At 41.1% G+C, this 25,189-nt stretch overlaps 1 long non-coding RNA gene across 1 annotated transcript; it reads left to right on the top strand.

The window, feature by feature from the left end:
- The first annotated feature begins 11,796 nt into the window (after positions 1 to 11,796).
- Positions 11,797 to 23,316, top strand: LOC102724830 (uncharacterized). The gene is made up of 4 exons (XR_426875.4): positions 11,797 to 12,313; positions 19,073 to 19,188; positions 20,318 to 20,603; positions 21,140 to 23,316. It is a non-coding gene; the product is annotated as an uncharacterized LOC102724830 (long non-coding RNA).
- The last annotated feature ends 1,873 nt before the right edge of the window (positions 23,317 to 25,189 follow it).

Genomic DNA, 25,189 nt, shown 5'->3' on the forward strand with positions numbered 1-25,189 from the left:
ACCTCTTTTCTTCATAAATTACCCAGTTTCAGGTAGTTCTAGAGCAGTGTGAGAATGAGCTAATACACCCACTTTAAAAAACATGTATAAAACAGAATAGAGCCTTGGGCCCCAGGAAGGCCCTAAGGACCATCAAGACCCACACAAGCCCTTTGAGGACCACTTACCGAAAGAACAGCTTTAATGAGAAAAGGCTTTCTGGTATAAAACTTGGCCGGGTGTGGTGGCTTATGCCTGTAATCCCAGCACTGTGGGAGGCCGAGATGGGCAGATCACCTGAGGTCAGGATTTCGAGAACACCCTGGACAACACGGTGAAACCAAGTCTCCACAAAAAATTACAAAAATTAGCTGGGTGTGGTGGTGCGTGCCTGTAGTTCTAGCTACTTGGGAGACTGAGGCAGGAGAATCACTTGAACCCTGGAGGCAGAGGTTGCAGTGAGTAGAGATCACACCACTGCACTCCAGCCTGGGTGACAGAGCGAGACACTGTCTCAAAAACAAAATCAAAAACTTGATTTATGTGAGACCCAAAAGGTAGTTCTTTTGTCACATTTTCCATGGAAATTCATTTTCACCAGAGGCAAATGCTTATATCTCCACTGGGAGTCTGCAACTCATAGAGTTTGTGTACTATCAGGGGAATAATAATACATTCTTTGAATGCAGAGAGAATAGCCAAAAGACTGCACTTGATCAGAATCAGATGATATGAATTGAAGTTTCTAATTCTATTTTTAGCCCTAAAGCAAGCTGAGCCTTGTGGGAAGGTTTACCAATCCCTGATGGGTGGGATCAGCCATATTTCACAGGGGCTTCCATTTTATAAGGATATTTGTATGCATTCATTCATGGCTCTGAGTTTTTTTACATGGTCCTTTGCAAAGCATTAAGATCAGCTTCTTGTCAGGGAACTTGAGGATCCATGAAAAAAGTAAATAAATAAAAAACAAAAACTAGTATGTGAGCATGAGGAAGGAGGTAGGTCATGCTAAGGAATACATCTCTTCTTTTCTGCAAATATAAGTGGTTTAATTCTAGTTGCCTTGGGTTAAGGAGTCCCATTCCTCGGGGACAGCTGCCTAGCACAGTGCCTTAGTTCCTGTTTAAAGTGCCACAGGACATGTATAGCTGAGATGTGACAGATTGCCCCTGCCTGGACCTCTCTCTCAGGGCTGCCAGCATCTTTAATGGACAGATGGAGCTGTCTTCCCTTTCTTGGCTGTGGCTGTCTGATCAACTTTGGAGATAGCAGTCAAACTTCTAGTTAATAAAAGTGCTTAATAAGTATTCAAATTGTAATATCCCCAGAAAGATGGTTACCTTGGTAGAAAAACCTTCTGATAAAAGAGTACCAGAATCTCTATTTCAAGAATCAAAGTGGCTGGGCATGGTGGCTCACGCCTGTAATCCTAGGATTTTGGGAGGCTGAGGCGGGTGGACCACATGGTCAAGAGATCGAGACCATTCTGGCTAACATGGTGAAACCCCATCTCTACTAAAAATACAAAAATTAGCTGTGAGTGGTAGCACACACCTGTAGTCCCAGCTACTCGGGAGGCTGAGGCAGGAGAATCACTCAAACTCAGGAGGCAGAGGTTGCAGTGAGCTGAGATCGCGCCACTGCACTCCAGCCTGGCTATAGAGCAAGACTCCATTTCAAACAAACAAACATAAAAAGAAAGCAGACACACATAGACTTGATATCTATCCCTACCAATAGCTTGAGGGACACTTTAACTTGTGTCTTTACAAGAAAAGTAAAAAGCTTAGCTGTGGATTACGAAACCTATAGAGCTGAGTTGAGAAAAACAAGGTTCTGGTGTAGACCTTGGGTTTCTCTTTGGACCGCCTGATCCTTTTCTTAGCCTATGCTGTTGGTATCCTTCTCCAGTCTCCACCGGATAGTGCTTGCTTGCTTCTGGGCCCTTATCATCTTCAGAGTCCTCCATCTTTGTTTATACTCTTACCCAATATTCCCTTTATATACAACCTCTCTCCATTACAAAGGAGAATCTGATTCTCTCCAATACATGGCAAAATACTGGCTATTTACTTCATTACTATCAGCTTATTTCCTGATGATCCTGTGTCTTCTCAAACCCAGTGCTAGATGTTCTTTTTTGGTTTTGCACCCTGCTCTTTGTATTCTTTCTTTTGCCTATCATACAGTGAAGAAAAAGGGAAGTAAACACCTTTGTCTTTTGGAGGCAAGAATAAACTCCAGCTGAATATAGACTCCTGGCAATGCATCACAAAGCTATTTCTGTACTACCATAGTCTGTCTACTGTAATGATCTTGGCTACAAGTAAACACAATACCCAACTAAAAGTGGCTGAAACAATGAGGGGTCTATTTTCTGAGGGTGGTTAATACAGCACAAAAGTTGCTACAATTCTTGATGAATTGATCTGTTCTCCTTTAGTTTCTCACCGTGGGTGAAGATGGCCGCCTAAGCCATCTTTGGCCGAACATTATGTCTTCACACAACTACATCCAAAGGAAGACAGGGAAAGAGTCCATCCCATTAGAGTGCTCTTTCTCTTTTTTAAAAAATAGGGAGGAAAAGTTTTCTAAGAATATACCCCCTAGCAGATTTTTTCTTAGGTACCACGGGCCAGGAGAGGGCCCTGTGCCTGTGCTCTACCTTCAGTGAAGCTGGGAAAAGTGATGAAGTTGGGAAAAGTGAGTGATTGGCTTCTATGGTGGAAGTGGACTTTATGTGTAAAGAAGGAAGAGGAGAAAAGCTGTGGGGTAGTCAACCACAGCCATTGAATACCTTCCTGAAGTGCAGCAGTCCAGGAATAGATTATATTTAATCATTTCACATTGCCATCACATGGACCACACCTACAGTTAATATGGAGTCGTAGAAGAAAAAGAGACCTCAAGAGTTCACCTCTACTCCTCTGTGGATAGATGGTTGGCTACCACAAGCTTTCTTTTTTAATTGTAAAATATACATAACAAAATGTAAAATTTTATCCATTTTTATGTGTACAGTTCAGTGGCATTGCATACATTTATATTGTTGTGAAACCATCACCTTCATTCATCTTCAGAACTAGTTTCTCTTCCCAAAATTAAACTCTGTATCCATTAAAGAATGGATACAGATCCCACTGTCCTCTCCTCCCAGCCCCTGGCAACCACCAGGGCTACTTTCAGTCTCTGTGAATTTGACTGCTCTAGATATCTCATATAAGTACAATCATATACTATCTGTTCATCTAGCTTAATTTAAAGATATTTGGTCACCCCTCTTAAAGTGCCCTTCATCTTCCTCCACCTTCTCTTCCTCCTCTCCTCTTCTCAAAATCCTTTCCATCCTTCAATGCTCAACACCAAGATTTTCAGTTCCTCCAGCCCATGAGGCTCTCTCCCTATTCTGGACTCAGAGTGTTCTGTGTACTTGACTTTCCCACTTTCTTGACCTTATGTACACTGTCTTATGCCGTATCTTGAGTTATTATCTTTTACTTTTAACTTTTATTTTAGGTTCAGAGGTACATGTGAAGGTTTATTACATAGGTAAACTCATGGCATGGGGGTTTGTTGTATAGATTATTTCATCACCCAGGTATTAAGCCCAGTACCAAATAGTTATCTTTTCTGCTCCACTCCCTCCTCCCCCTCTCCACCTTCAAGTAGACCCCAGTGTCTGTTGTTTCCTTATTTGTGTTCATAACTTCTCATCATTTAGCTTCCACTTGTAAGTGAGAACATGTGGTATTGGTGACTTTCTAGTCCTGCATTAGTTTGCTAAGGATAATAGCCTCCGGTTCTATCCATGTTCCCGCAAAAGACATGATCTCATTATTTTTTTTATGGCTGCATAGTATTCCATGGTGTATATGTTCCACATTTTCATTATACAGTCTGTCATTGAAGGGCATTTAGGTGGATTCCATTTAGATCTTTGCTATCGTGAATAATGCTGCAATGAACATTCGCGTGCATATGTCTTTATGGTAGAATGATTTATATTCCTCTGGGTATATACCCAGTAATGGGATTGCTAGAAAATGGTAGTTCTGCTTTTAGCTCTTTGAGGAATCACCATACTGCCTTCTACAATGGTTGAACTGATTTACACTTCCACCAACAGTGTATAAGTGTTCCATTTTCTCCGCAATCTTGCCTGCATCTGTTATTTGTTGACTTTTTAGTAATAACCATTCTGACTGGTGTAAGATAGTATCTCATTGTGTTTTTGATTTGCATTTCTTTAATGATCAGTGATATTGAGCTTTTTTCATATGCTTGTTGGTTGCATGTATGTCTTATTTTGAAAAGTGTCTGTTCATGTTCTTTGCCCACTTTTTAATGGGGTTGTTTGTTTTTCTCTTGTAAATTTAAGTTATAGATGCTGGATGTTAGACCTTTATCAGATGCATAGTTTGCAAATATTTTCTCTCATTCTGTAGGTTGTGTGTTTACTCTGTTGATAGTTTCTTTTGGTGTGCCGAAGCTCTTAAGTTTAATTAGATCCCACTTGTCAATTTTTGCTTTTGTTGTGATTGCTTTCTGTGTCTTTGTCATAAAATGTTTGCCCAATCCTGTGTTCAAGATGGTATTGCCTAGGTTGTATTCCAGTGTTTTTATAGTTTTGGGTTTTACATTTAAATATTTATTTCATCTTGAGTTAATTTTTGTATATGATGTAAGGAAGAGGTCCAGCTTCAGTCTTGTGCGTATGGCTAGCTAGTTATCCCAGCACCACTTACTGAATAGGGAGTCTTTTCTCCATTGCTTGCTCTTGTCAGCTTTGTTGAAGATCAGATGGTCATAGGTGTGCAGCCTTTTTTCTGCCCTCACTATTCTATTCCATTAGTCTATGCTCCTGTTTTTGTATGAGTACCATGCTGTTTTGGTTACTGCAGTCCTATAGCAATAGTTTGAAGTCAGGTAATGTGATGCCTCCAGCTTTGTTCTTTTTGTTTAGGATTGCCTTGGGTATTAGGGCTCTTTTTTGGTTCCATATGAATTTTAAAATAGTTTTTTCTAGTTCTGTGAAGAATGTCATTGGCAGATTGATAGAAATAGTATTGAATCTGTACATTGCTTCGGGCAGTATGGCCATTTTAATGATATTGATTCTTCCCATCCATGAGCATGGGATATTATTCCATTTGTTTGTGTCTTCTCTGATTTCTTGGAACAATGTTTTATAATTCTCATTGTAGAGATCTTTTACCTTCCTGGTTAGCTGTATTTCTAGGTATTTTATTCTTTTTGTGGCAATTGTGAATGGGATTGCCTTTCTGATTTGGCTCTTGTCTTGGCTATTGTTGGTGTATAGAAATGCCAGTGATTTTTGTACACTGACTTTGTATCCTGAAACTTTACTGAAGTTGTTTGTCAGCTGAAGGAGATTTTAGGCTGAGACTGTGGGGTTTCTAGATACAGAATCATGTCATCTGCAGAGATAGTTTGGCTTCCTCTCCTCTTATTTAGATACCCTTTATTTCTTTCTCCTTCCTGATTGCTCTGGCCAGAACTTCTAATACCATGTTAAATGGGAGCAGTGAGAGATGGCATCCTTTTCTTGTGCTAGTTTTTAAGGGTGAATGCTTCCAGCTTTTGCCTATTGAGTATAATATTGATTGTGGGTTTGTCATAGATGGCTCTTATTATTTTGAGGCATGTTTCTTCAATACCTAGCTTATAGAGAGTTTTTAACACGAGAGGGTGTTGAATTTTATCAAAAACCTTTTCGGCATCTGTTGAGATAATCATGTGGTTTTGTCTTTAGTTCTACTGTTTATGTGATGAATCACACTTATTGATTTGTGTATGTCGAACCAACTTCACATCCCTGGGATGAAGCCAACTTGATTAGCTTTTTTTTGATGGGCTGCTGGATTGGACCAAATGGATCTTATAGACCTCTACAGAACTCTCCACCCCAAAACAACAGAATATATACATTCTTATAATCACCAAATAGCACATACTCCAAAATTGACCACATAATTGGACATAAAAAATCCTCAGCATATGCAAAAAAGAAAAAACTGAAACCATACCAAAAGCACTCTTAGACCACAGTGCAATAAAAATAGAAGTCAAGATGAAGGAAATCGCTCAAATATGTGCAATGACATGGAAATTAAGCAACATGCTCCTGAATGACTTTTGGATAAATAATGAAACTAAGGCAGAAGTCAAGTTCTTTGAAATTAATGAGAACAAAGATATAACATACCGGTATCTCCAGGACACACCTAAAGCAGTGTTAAGAGGGAAATTCATAGCAATAAATGCCACATCAAAAGATTAGAAATATCTCAAATTAGCAACCTAATAATCACAACTGAAAGAACTAGAGAAGCAAGAACAAATCAATCCCAGAGCTAGCAGAAGACAAGAAATCACCAAAATCGGAGCTGAACTGAAGGAAATTGAGACACCAAAAGCCATTTAAAAGATCAATGAATCCATGAGTTGTTTTTTGGAAAAAACATTAATAGTATAAATAGGCCACTAGCTAGACTAATTAAGAAGAAAAAGGAGAAGATCCAAATAAACACAATTAAAGGTGACAAAGGCAATGTTACCGCTGACCCCGCAGAAGTAAAAATGACCATCAGAAACTACTACAAACACCTCTGTGCACATAAACTAGAAAAGCTAGAAGAGGTAAATAAATTCCTGGACACATACACCCTCCCAAGATTAAACCAAGAAGAAATTGATTGTCTGAACAGACCAATAATGAGCTCTGAAATTGAATCAGTAATAAATAACCTACCAACAACAACAAAAGCCCAGGACCTGATGATTTCACAGCCAAATTCTACCAGATGTACAAAGAAGAGCTGGTACCATTCTTACAGAAATTATTCCAAAAAATTGAGGAGCAGGGACTCCTTCCTAACTCATTCTGAGGCCAGCATCATCCGGATACCAAAACTTGGCAGAGATACAACAAAAAAGAAACCTTCAGGCCGATATCCTTGATGAACATTGATGCAAAAATCCTCAACAAAATTCTTACAAACCAAATCCAACAGCACATCAAAGGAGTTATTGTATTACCTATCCTTTGTGAGTACGTCTTATCTTTCCAACTAGATTGGGACCTCTTGGAGAGCATAGACTATATGCATCTTACTTTTCTTTCTGTCCTCCAAAACCCAAGCCTTCTACACAACGGTCACTCAGTAAATAGGTGTCAGGTTCCATTCTTTCTTTAGGAAATCTGCATAAATTACCTTTATAACGAAGATGTTTTGTCTTAAGTATGATCATGCTCTTTGGGGTCAAAACTTAAGTCATTTTGTTTCTTCTTTGATCTTCCCTAAGATGGAGAACAAATGTTCAGTGTCCTCCTTAAACCTGTAAATATACTAGAGGTAGGTTAATGTGTCACTTTAGCTTTCAGTTTTCTGGATTAAGCCAAGATAATGGGGCAGAACCATTATACTTACACAACACCTTTTCCTGAGAAATTCTTAATACTTCCTTTACATTAAGATCAGGTTTTTCCATGGTCACAAGTCAGCATAAGTTTGAGAATCCAGGGAAGATTATCTCTTCTGTAGAAAAAGTCTTGAGCCTCTGGCAAGCTTTTATTTTTTACAAAGACTCACTTGGAGGCTGCTTAATATCTACTGAAACCCTGATGACTGACATACACACATACCCAATGCACACTCTATCCAAGGATTGTAATTTTGTATATTTAAAATTTTAAATTTAACAAGGGGTAGATGTGGCTTAGTCTTTCAGTATTGCTGATTAAGTGACTAAAGATTTTAGCAACTAGGAATTTGTAATGATGAAATATTGTTCTGTTAATACTAGCAAATTTAACTAAAGCAATTCTAAGGAATGGTGATTATGGATATATTCTAACCCACTTTACCCTTTTCAAAATGTAGTGAAAGGCATGAAACTCAAACTGCTAGGGAGGGCACGAAGAAGTTGGGGCTGCAGGCTGTATGCTTTTGTAAACACGTCCAGCTCCCTGCTCTGATGATGTGTCTGCAGGGTCATTTGGAGGAGTTGATATGAGGGAGCAGATGAATCTTCTCACTTAAAATATCCTGTAACGTCAAGAAAATCTATTTGAACCCCAGAAAGTTTATAAGCTAGTTGGATGTGTTAATTAATATTGGCTTGTTGAACTGGCTTGTTGAGGGGTGTCAGGAACCCTTCTTTCCTTATGAAGAACCATAGAAACAACACAATGGGGCCAGGCATGGTGGCTCACATCTGTAATCCCAGCACTTTGGGAGGCCGAGGCGGGTGGATCACCTTTGGTCAGGAGTTCGAGACCAGTCTGGCCAACATGGTGAAAACCCATCTCTACTAAAAATACAAAAAAATTAGCTAGGCGTGGTGGTGAGTGCCTGTAATCCCAGCTACTTGGGAGACTGAGGCAGGAGAATCACTCGAACCCCGGGAGGTGGAGGTTGCAGTGAGCCGAGATCGCGCCATTGCACTCCAGCCTGGGCAACAAAAGAGAAACTCCATCTCAAAAAAAAAAAAAAAAAAAAAAAGAAAGGAAAAAAGAAATAACACATTGGTTGGGTGAATGGAGGATTACACCCAAGGCACCTGGGAGGGAAACTCTGTTTATTTCTTGAGATTTCCCTTTGGTTTGATTGTGTTTTTAAAGGATTGGGAAAAATTAAGAAATATTAAACCTGCTTCAGATTGGTTTATCAAACACTCACATAGTAATATAATAATTGTAAGGACAATAATTTCTAGTTTGTATAAAATAGTTTTTATTGGATTCCTAATGTCCAAGTTCGGAGGGGCTGGTAAGCATTCTGGTAGGAAAGAGTCATTTCATCAATTAGAAGAAAGAGCGTCTTGGGACATATGGCATTTGGAAGTGAAGTATTTGATCCTAGAGTTTTGGCTGGCCATAAAGGAAAGCTTGTATAAGCAAAAAAGAAAATATGTTTTCTTGGTGAGAAAACAGAGTAGAAGGGACATTTGCAGTAGGAAATAAGGATGGTAAGAAGAGGCCAGGCGCAGTGGCTCACGCCTATAATCCCAGCACTTTGGGAGGCCGAGGCTGGCAGATCACCTGAGGTCGGGAGTTTGAGACCAGCCTGACCAACATGGAGAAACTCCATCTGTACTAAAAATACAAAATTAGCCGGATGTGGTGGCGCATGCCTGTAATCTCAGCTACTCGGGAGGCTCAGGCAGGAGAAGCACTTGAACCCGGGAGGCGGAGATTGCAGTGAGCTGAGATCGTGCCATTGCACTCCAGCCTGGGCAACAAAAGCAAAACTCCGTCTCAAAAAAAAAAAAAAAGGTAAGAAGAAAAATAACATTTTATCTTTGATAAGAGCAAGTAGAGCGTTATGGTGTTTTTATTCTATTTTGAAGTTCTAGAACCAATGCAGCCTCCCGAGGGAACTGCAAATGGGCCAGGCACTTTCATAATATTTACACTCATTTGTTCATCCATTTGCTGTCCATTTATCATTCATCCAAAATCATTTATTAGGGACCTCTTCTATTTCATGCACTGGGGCTATGATGATAAATGAATTCTTCACTTGGAGGAACTACACTCTACTGGAGGGAGGCCTACATAAATGGGGTTTAGGGTAAACCTGACAGGTGTTCTACTAGATCTAATAACAGATTTCTGTGGACATACAGAGAAAAGGTCGCCCCTCTGGGTTGCTGGAAAAGATTCACAGAAAGTGATATTTGAAGTGAGTTTTGAAGGATAAGTGCATTCATCAGGTTAAGCCGTTGAGAAAGGAAAGCCCACTAGGGGACAGGCCTGTGCAAAAGCACTGAAGTGTGACTGGGTATGCAGAGAACAGGGAAGGTGGTGAGGTGGTGGGTGGAGGACCGGGTACAGAACCGTGGGAGAGGTGATGGGGAAGAGTGAAACTGAAACTGTAGGGCACCAGGCCATCGCCCTCCATGCATCCAAACTCAAGTGCCAGAAGGCACAACCTCAACCCATGGGTGGCAGCCCTACTGCCAACACAGATACACACACACACACACACACAGACACCACACACCCCACCACACACACATACCATGCACCCCCCCATTCCACCCCACAACCCACCACACACAGAGATACACACACCCCATTTCACACCCCACCACTTACACATCCCGCCACCAAACACATACCCTCCACCACATACACACATCTCACGCACCCTACTCCATACCCCACCCCCGACACAACCCCACACACCAGCACACCCCTTCACACCACCACACTCCCCACACCACTGCACACACACACCCTACCACATACACCACATACCCCCCACACACCTCCCACATATACCTCACCACATATATTCTACATCTACCTCACACACACTCTCTCCCCACCACACATACCCCACCCCCCACACACCCCACACATACCACCACATACCCCTCCACACATCCCACCACACACCCCTCAAATCCTGCCATACACACACACCCCGTCACACACCCCACCACATACACACACACAGAGACACACCCTACCACCACACCCCGAACAATCCACCACGTACCCCACACCTCACACCTGACCACACACAATCTCCCCTCACACACACCTCACCTCATCACACACACACACACCCCCCATACACCCCCCACCCCACATACAGAAACAGTTGTTTTGGCTGACCCCCTCCTGAGAAAGCAGAGTTGACTCTGGGCTGCATCCCACAGAGCACAGCCCAGGGTCCTGGGAACACTGTAAGGGACGTTGGTAAGGGGGATCCAGTACTGGTTTTTAAACATGGGAGTGCTACACACATCGTCTGTGGACTGTGAGTACATTGTGTCAGGACTAGGTCTAACTCATACTCTGTTCCTTCCTCTGTGCCTAGCACCATGCTGGCATATAGAAGGTCCTCCTTAAATACTTGCTGCATGAATAAATGAACTAAACAAATAAGGCAATGTGGAGAATGGACTAGCGTGGAAGGAAACTACTGTCAGTTCAGAGGCTCTCACAAGAATCTAGGTGAGCGATCACGGTGGGATTGGAGAGGAAGAACCAGAATGTAGACCAGCACTCTCCAACAGAACTTTCCACATGATGGAAATGTTCTATTCTGCACTGTCCGTTATGCAAACCACTAGCCACACATGGCTCTTGAGCACTTGAAATGTAGCTGGTAAGGCTGAGGGACTGAACTTTTAATTACTTTAAATTTTTTTTCTTTTTTTTTTTTTTTTTTTTTTTTTTTGAGACGGAGTCTCGCTCTGTCGCCCAGGCTGGAGTGCAGTGGCGCGATCTCGGCTCACTGCAAGCTCCGCCTCCCGGGTTCACGCCATTCTCCTGCCTCAGCCTCCCGAGTAGCCGGGACTACAGGCGCCCGCCACTGCGCCCGGCTAATTTTTTGTATTTTTAGTAGAGACGGGGTTTCACCGTGTTGGCCAGGACCTCGTGATTCACCTGCCTTGGCCTCCCAAAGTGCTGGGATTATAAGCGTGAGCCACAGTGCCCGGCCTAATTACTTTAAATTTAAATAGCCACATGTGACTATTGGCTACCACATTGAACAGCACAGTTCTAGAGATTTTTGTGGCAGAATCAAACAAACTTGTAACAAACTGGATTTATTCATTAATTTAATCAATAAATATTTATTGATTGTTTACTTTGTTCTGCAGTGAAAACGTGTGTGGCAATAGGGTGTGACACGCCAGGGTGTTTAGACTTTGTGAGGTGCTTGGTAAAGGAGACCCAACACCAGTGTTTAAGCATGAGCAGAGCAGGTGATGTAATTTCCCTCTAGAGCTGACATTCTTCTGGGGGAAGGAGGGAAGGAAGGAAGGAAGGAAGGAAGGAAGGAAGGAAGGAAGGAGGGGAGGGGAGGGGAGGGAGGGAGGGAGGGAGGAAAGGAAGGAAGGGAAGAAAGGGAGGGAAGGGAAGAAAGGGAAGGAAGGGAAGGAAGGAAGAAAGAAAGAGAGAAAAGAAAGTTCTATGAAGAGAATGAAAACAAGTGATATAATGAGTGGAGGAGAGTGGACAAGCTATTTTAGCAGGATTGGTCAAGGAAATCCTCTCTGAAAGGTGACAAGTTGAGAGTTGAATAATGCAGAAGTTATGTGGATTAAGAAAAACAAAAACAAACAAAACCTCAAAACAAGAACTAAAATAATCATTGATGAGTAAAAGCAATAAAATTCATCCTGAAGACACCTGGTGCAAGAAGGGACCTATTCCATCTGCAAGTGAAACTCACTCACTTCCTTTCTCCAGAAAGAAAACTGAAGCCTGGAGAGGTAAAGAGACTTACCTAAGGCCAGTTGGCAAAAGACTCTTAACCTCCTGACCTCCAACTCCACTCCCTACTGGGTAAGTGTCTCTTAGCATCTTGAATTTCATTTTTCTTATTAGTAAAATGAGTTATTGATAGAAATGAAAAATGTAACATAGATAAGGTGCTAAAAATAGTAGCTATTTTCATTTTTGGATTTTTTCTAATCGTTGTATAGTGTGCCTCTCAAATAATTAACTATGTTATTATTTTAATAATATAGAAGTATTAATATAATATATAATTATGTATAATTAATATAATAGAGAAATTTAGTAATTGGATAATACAGAAAGCCTAAGAGAGGCAATGAGCTTCAAGTCCTGACTTTTTCTTAGTCTTCATTGTCTGGGGTAAATCTTAGCATTGGGCCTATGCAATCAACCTCCAGTACCACCTGCCATTCACCTGGAGGCAGCTGCTGGAGCTCTTCGAATGCTGTCAGAGAAGGAATAACCATCCCCCACACTGCTGGCCTGACAACCCCCACCTTATTAAGTGGTGGTATGTATCACAGTCCTAGGATACTTCTGAGGAGAGGAATATGAGGCTGTGGTTTTCTCAACAGACACAGCTGTCATCAAGCTCTTTATGGAAAGCTGCTGTAGACAGGGGCTGAAAAGAAGATGAAGGCTTTAACAGGTTGTGAAATTGCAGTGATAAAAAGAGAGCACTAAAAGCATATGGCACTGGAAAGGGTTTTCTGCATCCAAATTGAGAATCAGACCTTCATTTGTTTACTCTTCATTTTACTCCCACCACACCTCTGCTGTTTGAGCTGGTATTTTTGTAAATATTCAGATAGGACAAACAAGGTGATAAACGAGGTCATGGCTTTGCCAGAGGGAGAGACAGTGCTGGAATATAAATGTTGGGTCTCCTTGACTTCTCAATGTCATTTGCCTTTTCTAGCCACACCCTTGGGTCTCAACCCAGGGTCTTGGACTATGAGCCCATGCTCTAGCCATTCTGCCGTGTTGCATCTGAGTTTGGTGTCTTTGGAGCCACTGGTTCAATAATCCTTAGCTGATAGTTTGATCTGACTATTGTATGATCACCAGAGTAACACTGAAAATGAGGCATTGAACACCTATGGGTTGCATGTGAGTGACCTGAGAGCCATGTCTGAGGCTTACTGCCCACAGCTCATGACCTCACTGTTGCAACCTGACCTGGTCAGGGCCAGGACCCTCTCCCCAGGCTGGAGCATCATCTCCTCCCATCATTCCTGAATATCACAAAGACCCATTAGGATAATGCCTCTGTGCCTTTCAGCCCTCCCATGCTCAGCAATGCACCTTCCAGTGAACATAGTGGCATACAAATAACTGCAGAGATAGAAGGATCCAAGTCCTTGGCCCAAATCTAGCAGGTCTAGATACCAGACCTTGCTCTACCACTTAGTTCACTGTATGAGCTTGGGCGAATTACTTTATTTATCTAGACCCCTATTTCTTCAAATGTGAATGTGGAATATTATCTACCTCATAGAGGTCCAAGAATCAAAAAAATTTATTGTATATGAAAATGCTTTGAAAAATAGAAAGCACCAATCAAGTAAGTACAGGTATTATTCAGTAGTCTACATACACTACAAGGATTTTTTTGTAGAAAAAAATAAAACTTAATAAATATTAAATTATATTAATATCACTTTCATCCATCTATCCATTCATCCATCCATCCATCCATTCATTCAGTAAAGTTGTATTAGACAACCAGTCTGGGGCAGGCACTGTATTGGTGCTAGGTAGATACATGATTGTGAACAGCAAATATATTATTCCTTGGGTTAATTAGGGTTCTCCAGAAAAAAAAACTAAAGGGAAATATATATCTCAAAAAGAGATTTATTACAAGTAATTAGCTCATGTGATTATGAAGGTGGGAAAATCCTGAGATATGTGGGATGAGTCAACAAGTTGGAGACCCAGGAGAACTGATGGTTTAGTTCTAGTCTGAGCTTGGTGATCTAAAAACCAGGATTGATGGTGTAGCTGAAGGCCAGCAAGCTCAAGATCCAGGAAGTGCCAATGTTTCAGTTTGAGTCTGAAGGCAAGAATAAAAGCCAGTGACCCAGTTCAAAGGCAGTCAGGCAGGAAGAATTCTCTCTTACCTGGGGGAGTCAGCCTTTTGTTCTATGCAGGCCTGCACTTGGTTAGATGAGGACTGTCACATTAGGGAGTGCACTCTACTTTACTCAGTCTGCCAATCTGAATGTTAATCTCATCTAAAACACCCTCACAGAAACACCCAGAGTAAGTTTCACCAAATATTTGGGCACCACTTGGCCCAATCAAGTTGGCAGATAAAAGTAATCATCACCTTCCTAACAGAGCTTACTGTCTATTTGGGAGAGAAGGACATAGTAAAGCAATAATCATGCAAACAAATTTATAATGAGAAAGTGTGCTGAGTGCTATGAAGAAAAAAGTACAGGCTCCCAGGAGTGATGATAACACTGGAGGCATATAAACATGAAACTTTAGTTGACTTGACTGATGTGGGACAAGGGGAGTGCATAGGGGAATTCCTTCAGATAGGACAGCACTCAGCAAATGAAATATCCAAAAGGTCAGTGTGGCTGGAACACAGGAAAGAAGAGGGATTATGTTGCCAATATGAGCAGACAGAGGGAAGGTCACAGACAACTCTTAGGGTTGTCTATGAGAAGGCTGAAAAGTTTGAGGCTGGTGAAGGAAGTATGAAATAGAAGTTGCCAGACTGAGAGAATGACCTTATTCATTGACAATGTAATGGAATAATATGGTTGTGTGGTCTGTTTAAGTTGAGCTAGAATAAATTCATAAACATTGTAATCTCTCAGGTTGCATGATTTTTTTTTTTTCTGAGACGGAGTCTCGCTCTGTCACCCAGGCTGGAGTGCAGTGGTGTGATCTCAGATCACTGCAAGCTCTGCCTCCCGGGTTCATGTCATTCTCCTGCCTCAGCCTCCTGAGTAGCTGGGACTACAGGCACCCGCCATCATGCCCGGCTTATTTTTGTATTTTTAGTAGAGACGGGGTTTCACCATGTTAGCCAGGATGGTCTCGATCTCCTGACCTCGTGATCCGCCTGCCTCAGCCTCCCAAAGTGCTGGGATTACAGGCGTGAGCCACCACGCTTGGCCAGGTTGCATGATTTTTATAGCCTTTTGTTTGACAATTTGATGCAGACATATAAATTAATTTTAACATTGATTGTTGTGACTTTCCACTTTATACTATTTTGCATGAATATTTCCACATGTTTGTTTTTCATAATTTTGTTATTTTTAATAGCTGTGTAGTATTCCATCATGGTTTCCATCATGTTATTTCTGGCCCTTCTACACACTCCTGTGGTTTTTAGCTCTGTACACTGTTTTTCTGAAAAATAGTTCTGCTGAGAATATCTTTTGGAACAGTGTTGTTTCTTATGAGCTATTTTTTTAGGTTGCATCCCCTCATGGGTTGCTTCTCTGCATGTCACAGCTTCTCTGTAGCACACAGCGTCTGTGGTGTGGTGCTTTGTTTGTCTTGTCTGGATGTGAGAAATTCCCATGGCACCAGCTGCTGCTGCGGAGTTGGCTGGGGAGGAGTAGTGACAGGCAGGAAGAGGATGACCCTCATTAGGAGTTCAGAGAATGCAGGTTATTGTGTTACTGCACTGTATCCTCCAGGATGTGGCCTCTGTGAGTGGTTTGTTCTGCACTGAGAACCTCCATGGCCCTTAACCTAACAGGGAGCTCTCTGCCTTTGCCACCTTCCCCAAGGGCCTATTAAGTTCCTGGTAAGTGTTGTTCTATGTAGAACAAAGAATATGTAAGGTAGTGGCAATAATGTAAATTATTGTTCATAAGCCTCTGGACTGTAATTAAATTAAAGTTATGATTATATCATCTAAGGCAAATGGTTCCCTAGGTGCCATCATTTTTGTTTATTCCTTTATGTAGTATATTCATTCTTAATTTCTACATATTATTGAGAAATTAGTAGGGGACCAGCTCATCAAGCCAAGCAGGTATCAGGGAAACTCATATAACATCCCTTCTTTGCCTAATCATAGTGCACCCACTCATTTGACCCAGTGTATCTCTTAAGCATTTAGCATGTTTAACACTGGTCAAAAAGTTAATGGAACAAAACAGAGTAACTGAACTCATTTGAGTTGGGACAAGGATAAAGTTTAAATTCGGTTTTCTGGGGGAAAAAATTCTATTACTTTTGTCAAACATAATATCATACAGTAGTAATTTAGTTTAATGTTCTTGGCAATTGGAAAATAAGTTCCAAAGGATTCCTCTATTTTATCAAAGCAAAGAAAGACAAGTACGGAACATAATAACCATTTTGTCCTCTTACCCACAAAGGGTATGTAGGAGAGGAGGCAGGCTCCTGCTAGAATCTTAGTCATTTTGGTCAGAAACATCATCACTGATGGCAGTGATATCTGTAGTTAATAACAGCAATGATAGTAACACATAAAAACCATGGAGTGTTAACTGTATGCTAGGCACAGTGCTTTATATTGCATCATTACCTCCCTCCCATGAAATGGGTTTTCTCAAAATCACAAAGCTGGTGAGTGATGGACTCAAGATTCAAACAGTAGACCCAAAGCCGGTGCTCCTAATCTCTCTCTACCCTGGTAATACAGTGGTTGGAAGCAGTGGGGTGGCAGGAAAAACCCACACCAAGGGATCTCAGCATTGCATTGCGAAGCACATGCCATGTTAGCTTTGAATCTGTTATGTAAATTGAATTAAGTCACATTATGATTATTATTATTTTGAGACAGGGTCTTGCTCTGTCGCCCAGCTGGAGTACAGTGACGCAATCTCAGCTCACTGCAACCTCCATCTCCTGAATTCAAGGAATTCTCCTGCCTCAGCCTCCTGAGTAGCTGGGATTACAGGCATGCACAACCGCACCCGGCTAATTTTTGTATTTTTAGTAGAGACGGGGTTTCACCATGTTGGCCAGGCTGGTCTTGAACTCCTGACCTCAGGTGATCCACCTGCCTCAGCATCCCCAAGTGCTGGGATTACAGGCGTGAGCCACTGCGCCCAGCCCACATAAACTTCCTGATGTTCCATTTTCTATAAAACAGAAGAGACGCTTGTATTTTTTAACTCCCAATGTGGGTAATGCTAGATAAGTGTGGAAGTTCTTTGACAACCAGCCAGAAAGTCCTATAGATATCTAAGGATTCATTACTTTGTATTGTGGTTGCTATGATGATGATGTGGCAGGATTCTTGTACTTAAAATATGAGACATGCAACAGCTGCTCTGGGGTGAGGCTACTCCAATGGGCTAAATTCAAATGTCTCATGCAGTGGAGTTGCGTTTCAATGAGTCATCTGATATGCTGATGTGCCAGGGAATCAGATACTTCACAGTCAGAAGGCAGCAGGAATCATGTGTGTTGTGGATGTGATGTGACTGACGTGGTGACAGATACATTCAAAGCATCAGCAGGCTCTCTAAACAAAGCTCCTTCTAGGAAAACTGATCACTGTGGCAGGCTCCCTCCAATGACTGCAGGCTGGGAATTGACCATAACAGATCATGATGTAGGTTCTAGAACAAGACTGAGGGGTGGAACAGGAGTCAGGTGGTCTTCAGAGTGATTTTATTGACATTAGCCCAACCAAGGCTCCACCATGCTTTGGGCAATCAGCACATCTCAGGGCTTGGGGTTCTGGATGTTGGAATACATTGCATAACTGGTGCAGTAGCAGGACATGAAGGCCAAGGCAGAAATTTCATCCGTACTTTATGTAAACCCAGTAGACTGGTGGTCTCAAACTCCAGAGAAACTAAAATCCAACTGTTGGGTACTACGCTCACTATCTGGGTGATGGGATTATTCATATCCCAAACCTCAGCATCATGCAGTATACTCATGTAATAAACCTACACGTGTACCCCTGAATCTAAGTAAAAGTTGAAATTATTTAAAAAACAATTGTTCAAATTCAGATTTCTGGTCTTCATTCCCAGAGTTCACTATTCCACTGGTTTGGGGTGGGGGCCAATAATCTACATTCAACAAGCCCTTTAAGTGATTTTGATGCGGATAATGTACAATTTCCATTTTCAGGAAATAAAATGTAGTAGATACAGGAAGGACTCTGGATGAGAGTGACCATAATAAAAACCAAAAAGTTAACATGTATTGAGTATTTACTATGAACTGGGCACTCTTCAAAGTGCTGTACAGAAATTAACTAATTATCATGCCATCCCATGAGCTAACCACTAATATTTCCTCCATTTTACAAATAGAAGACACTCGTGTCCTGGTTTCCTGGTAAAATGTGAAAGTTTGAATGTGTCAGAAGAATTTTGTAAGGAAGGGATAGATTGCTCAAATTCCACCTAGAGGAACAGCATATACTGCCATCACTCTAGTGTTTTAATATAGCCTGATTCTAATATGAAAAATTCACAGCAGCCTGGTAGCTTAGGGTAGGGATGGAGCTTAGGAGAAATTGCCCACTGTAGCATCTATCTCACAGGGTACCAACATTGAGACTGGAAGACATTAACTCCAATTATTCCTTGCCCTCTGAATGCTGAAATTGCCCTTACCTCAACCTTGTTTTTGGCTGGGACCTGTTGAAATGCTGCAAGCCTCCAGCTTGCTAATCAGGTTTACAGAAAAAAAGAGATTTTAAGCCTCTACTAATTAAAGATATAATGCTAACCATCTATGACCAGTTAACCATCTATGACCAGTTAGCTCATTTAATTAGAGCCCATTGAGAATAAGAGTGAACTAATCGAACCTAACATTTACTTTCTATTACAGAAGAATTTATTTGAATCTCTCTTTTCCTTGGCTAAGAAGAATGAAGAGGCAGGAGACTTGGGGGACCCCTTAACTGGGGATAATTACTGGGACAAATCAGCCAGCACAAAGAGGAGGTAATATTTGGATGGTTAGTTAGAAATATTCTTTGCTGATTTATTATTCATGTACTATGATTTAAAGAACCTTGAAGTTGTCTGAACATTGTTTAAAATTTTGGAGGTCTAGAATTCCAGATTTATGTTTCTAAGTGCCTACCTGCTAAGATGTTCCATTGGGTTGTTCAGCTAGTATCCCTTCCCCAAAACATATCCCAAATCAATCCCATCATACTCCCCACCAAGTCTCTCTTCTCTGGATGACACTACTTCTGTTCCTGATCACACTGTTCTCCCAGTTCTGGTTCAGAAACACAGCCATCTTTGAATCCACCCTCCCTAGAGAGTTGGTTGTAAGATAAATTCACATGTTTTCTCAGGTTAGCTTTTGCTCTTCCAGCAAGAAGAGCATCACTATCACCCATAGTTCAATCCTTTTCATCTCATGGGGTCTGAACCACATTCTGGAGCTTTCCTGACCAGCATCTTCTCCGTTTGTCCTGCAGCTTCTTCTTCCTACAATGGCTCTGCCATATTGAAATATAATTCTTTAGCTTAAACTCTCTGTGATTTTTATTGCCTCCTAAATAAAGTTGAAATTTACTAAACTCAAAATCTGGTGTACAAGTCCTTCTATAATCTTTTCCCATACTATTTGTCTAGCCTTGTTTTCTATTAAGTCTTTAAAAACAATTTTACTACTCACAGGGCTGATTTACCTATTAGATACAGGAAGTACAGCACCTAGGTCCCACAATGCTTTTAGAGGTCCAGGATCTTTTAATTTCTTTTTCAATCAAAAGAAAAAAGAACACAATCCAAATTGTATTGTATGCATAATTATATTAACACAGTTGTAAAACATAATTTTAATATTTTTTGGACAAAGATACCTATGAAAGCAAAAGTGTCAAGTCCCATGAAAGTCATGTGACTTTCCCCGAAATAGAAAATATAGATTTAATAAATGAACTTTGGTGAAAGATTTAAAGACAAGTAATAAGGTATGCACTCATTAAATGTAAAATAAATAAATAAAATCATCAACCCTGTCTCAAAAAATGTTTAACTTTCATTTGTTCGTTAATAACTCAATTACTCACTCATTCAATCAACAAATATTAATTGCACTCTTACTATTTTTCAGGCACTAAACAATCAGTCCTGGTCTCTGTTATCAGAGACTTTTGATGCTACCATTGGAGTCAGACAAGCAGACAAACATCAACAAAATGATTATAAACTATGACACACTATGATGGGAAAGAAGGAGGCTGACAGAGAGGACATTGGCAGGAAGGAGCCCTACTGTAGATGTGGTGGTCAGAGAAGGGCCTTTGTGAGAAGCTGACACATAATCTCACAGTTGAAGTTGTGAGAAGGAGCTGGTCCTCCAGAGAGAAGTAGGAAGAGCGCTCCAGCAGAATCTCTGGGTGAGACTTGGACATCTGTGTTGTTGCTCTACTTTCTGGGTACATCTGATGAAGGAGGAGCCCCTGCTGTTGGTCTCATCCACAAATACAGTTTAAGCTCTTCATTTCCGTGGTTTTGTTCATGCTGCTCCCTTGCCCTAGAATTCCTTCTCTTCTGCCTCCCTTTCTCTATCTTTCAAGCCATACTCATCTTCTAAGACCCAGTTCAAATGCCACCACCAAGCCACTGTCTCTATGCCAACTCCTCTGGCCAGATGCCTGCTCTCCTTTAAAGCCCCCACTCTAATGCTTAGCAGTTGTCATCCCCTACCCTCTTCTTCCATATGTTTTATCTCCACTACTTGGTGGCAATTTCTTAAAGGTAAAGACTGTGTTTTATGTCTTAGCATTGCTTGAACAACCTCCACAGTGACCTTCACACATTAGAAATTTAGTAAAAATTTTCTGGATACATGAAAAATGAATGAGTCATGATTCCAAGGTAGACTATGTATTCACATCATATTCTTGCAATCTTTCCCTTATTTCCTTTGCAGACAAGTGCAGCTACGACTGCTGCTGGGACCGCGATACTGTGATGAGACTTTGCATATTTAAAAGGATGTCGAGAGAGGAGGAGGAATGATAAATGAACTCAGGAAGATGTGATGTCTTCTGTGATGACACTAATAGATGGAATGCAGAATTCAGCTCCAATACTTAGGGTTGGAAACCAAACATAAACAAGCAAGCAAGGAAAATGAAAAGGAATGTGTGTGTGTGTGTGTGTGTGTGTGTGTGTGTGTGTGTGTAGGTGTGAGAGTATATGAAATACATGAAAAGATAAAAAGTTAGATGCTGCTAAAGGGACAGACATGTAGGAATTTTACATTAGGGTTGTTCTGATTTTCATTTTCTTGCCTTTTAAAATTTAATGATAAACAAGTCTCCAGAGATTTTTACAGCCTGGGAGACCACTGGTAAGACAACAATATAGGTGGTCCTCCAGCAGGATCTAAATCAGAGCCTTCATAGTGGACTGTCGGGCCAGGTGCAGCTGTAGACAATGCATCTTCAGGAGTGGGGTGAAGAAATTTAATGGACTAGTAATGCAACAGGAGGTAGAAGAAAAGTGTTCTCTCACTAAAGCATGGTGGGTGTTTTCAAAATGTTTAAAAAACATTTTTAGGCCGGGCACAGTGGCTCACACCTGTAATCTCAGAGCTTGGGGTGGCTGAGGACCCAAAAGGAGGATCCCTTGATGCCAGGAGTTGTAGACCAGCCTGGTCTAACATAGCAATACCCTGTCTCTAAAAAAAAAAAAAAAAAAAAAAATTAATTAGCCAGGCAGGTGACAAGTGCCTGTAGTCCCAGTTACTCAGGAGGATAAGGCAGGAGGATCGCTTGAACCCAAGAATTTGAGGTTGTGGTAAGCTGTGATCGTGCCATTGCACTCCAGCCTGGGTGACAGAGTAAGACCTCAATTCTTTTTTTTTTTTTTTTTTTTTTTTTGAGGCAGAGCCTTGCTCTGTTGCCCAGGCTGGAGTGCAGTGGCGCGATCTCGGTTCACTGCAAGCTCCGCCTCCCGGGTTCACGCCATTCTCCTGCCTCAGCCTCCTGAGTAGCTGGGACTACAGGCACCCACCACCACGCCCAGCTAATTTTTGGTGTTTCTAGTAGAGATGGGGTTTCACCATGTTAGCCAGGATGGTCTCGATCTCCTGACCTCGTGATGCACCTGCCTCGGCCTCCCAAAATGCTGGGATTACAGGCGTGAGCCACCGCGCCTGGCCAGACCTCAATTCTTTAAAAACCAATTGTGTTATGCTTTTGGTTGCTGGGTTCTTAGAAGGAGGTTCTCAAGGTGGCAAGTCAGAGACATTCTGTTCTGTCTGTCAGAAATGCAAAATAATGGAGCAAAATTCCAAAGATAAAGTGAAAAATATGGCAATCAGGATAGCAAGAGCTGAGTGAATGGTGTGAGTTTGAGGAGGTGTTTTCGATTAACTTGTTTTAACATTGAGCTGTAAAAAGAAGTTAAGATAGGGAAGGATGGGGTGAAATATTGCCTGGTCTCCAACTGAAACACATGGGCCTGAGATATGGTGAAGTTTTACTAATGGGATGAAAAAGTGGAGTAGGCCTGGTGTGGAGGAGCACAGCATCCTGAGCCTCGGAAGTGATTCAGGTTAAAGGGCCTCTAAGGCTACACTCTCAGAGCCTTGGAAGAGCTACCTGGCTTGAGCTCTACTCATAGCTACTTTTCTATCCCCTGGTTGTCAGCTCTTCAGCCCTTTATTCATTCAAAAAATATTTATTGATGGCCTACTAAATGACAGGCCCTGGGTGAACAGCTGTGAAAAAAAAATGGGCAAATGTCTCTGCCCTCCTGGGATTCATATACTAAAGGGTCAAGAATATAAGAATTTATTAAAAGAACAGTCCATGGAGGAAAAAATGAAGCACAAGTATAATGGATCTATTGACCTGTGTAATGACCCCAGATCAAGACCCTGATCACCCCATTTATTTGGTGCCTGTTATTGTAATGTCTTCCGCCATCTGTTATTACTACTTACCACCTCTCCTCTGAGACGTATGGTCCAAGCCACATACCCTCAAAAAAAAATCTGTATTGAAGTATAATTTATGTACCATAAGGTTCACCTATTTTGAGTGTATAATTCAATGATTTTTAATAAATGTATAGAGTTGTATGGTCTTATCATTACAATCCAGACTTAGAACATTTCTGTCAGCCTGAAATGTTTCTTTGTGCCCATTTGCAATCAATTCTGCTTCTACTTTCAACCCCAGGCAACCACTGATCTGTTTTCCATATCTATAGATTGGCCTTTTCTGGACATTTTATATCAATGGAATCAAACAGCATAAGTTGCGCATTCCTAACCCCCAAATCCAAAATGGTCAAATTTGAAAATTTTCAAGCATGACATGACACCACAAATGAGGAAAGAAAAGATGCCTGACCTCCTTACATATGCACACCACAAGTGGAAAATTTCACACATAACCTCATTCACATGATGAGTTGCAGTCAGTCAAAATGCAGGCATGCAACACACAGTTTATTCAGCCTTCTCAAGACAAATAGACCCACCCAGCCCCCATCAGCTGCAATACATCTTTTCTACCCAATGCCCAGATTCCCCCATGCAAGCACACTCACAAAGGGTAATAAAAATGACACACGTGCAGGCCGGATGTGCCAATAGCAGGTTCCCCATGATGCCCCATGGGGAGCCAAGATGGCATGTATTACTCATTGTGTTTTTTTGCTTATTCTCTGCTCTGTGGTATAAAGATATTGTTGAAAATGTCAAAAAGGTCTGCATATGGGTAATAGTAATAAGAAAAAGAGAACACATTTATGTTTGTCTGTAGAACAGATACTGAACAGCAGTCTAAGTGTGAAATGTCTTATGGAAGAGTATGGTGTTGGAATGATCACCATGTATGAAAATAAGGATAAACTGTGGAATTTTTATGCTTAAAGTGATGAGCAGAATTTGATTAAAAATAGGAAAACACTGCATAAAGCTTAAAATGAAGATCTCGATTGTGTATTGAAGGAGTGGATCCATCAGCGTTGCAGTGAACACATGCCACTTAATAGTATGCTGATGGTGAAGCAAGCAAAGATCTATCAGAGTGAACTGAAAATGGAATGGAACTGTGAATATTCAACAAGCTGGTTGCAGAAGTTTAAGAAAAGACATGGCACTAAATTTTTAAAGATTTGTGGTGATGAAGTGTCTGCTGATCGTGAAGCAATGGAAAAATTTATTGACAAATTTGCCAAAGTCATCACTGATTAAAATCTGACACCATAACAAGTCTATAATGCTGATGAAACATTACTCTTTTGGTGTTATTGCCCCAGAAAGACACTGACTATGACTTATGAGATGACCCCTACAAGAATAATTGAGGATGCCAAGAACAGAATAGCTACTGGGATGTGCTAATGCAGCAGGCACATATTGGTATATACTTGCTGTGATAGTCAAAAGCTTACATCCTTGCTGTTTTCAAGAAGTGAGTTTCTTACCAGTCCATTATTATGCTAACAAAGAGGCATGTATCACCAGGAATATCTTTTCTGATTGGTTTCAAAATATTTTGTACCAGTAGCTTTTGCTCACTCTAGGGAAGTTGGACTGGATGATAACTAGAAGCTTTTGTTATTCCTTGACAACTGTTCTGCTCATCCTCCAGCTGCAATTCTATCAAAATAGTGTTTATGCCATGGACTTTCCCCCAAATGTGACATAATTCATTGATCATGTATCCTTAAATCAATGAAAAGTAAATATACAAAACTTTTTTTTGGAACAGCATGCTGGCAGCAGTGAACAGAGGTGTAAGTATGGAAGCTTTCCAAAAGAAGTTCAGGATGAACGATGCTGTGTGTGCTGTTGCCAATGCTTGGAATCCAGTGACTAAATACACAGTTGTATATTTCTGGCACAACCTCTGGCCTGCAATGATGTTCAGTAATGATGATGAACCAGGTGGTGACTTTGAAGGATTCCACCTGTCAATTGAGAAAAAAAAGATATTTGACCTCCTTACATACGCAAAAA

This window comes from Homo sapiens, chromosome 1, assembly GCF_000001405.40.
Source record: "Homo sapiens chromosome 1, GRCh38.p14 Primary Assembly".
In the NCBI taxonomy this organism is placed as follows: Eukaryota; Metazoa; Chordata; class Mammalia; order Primates; family Hominidae; genus Homo; species Homo sapiens.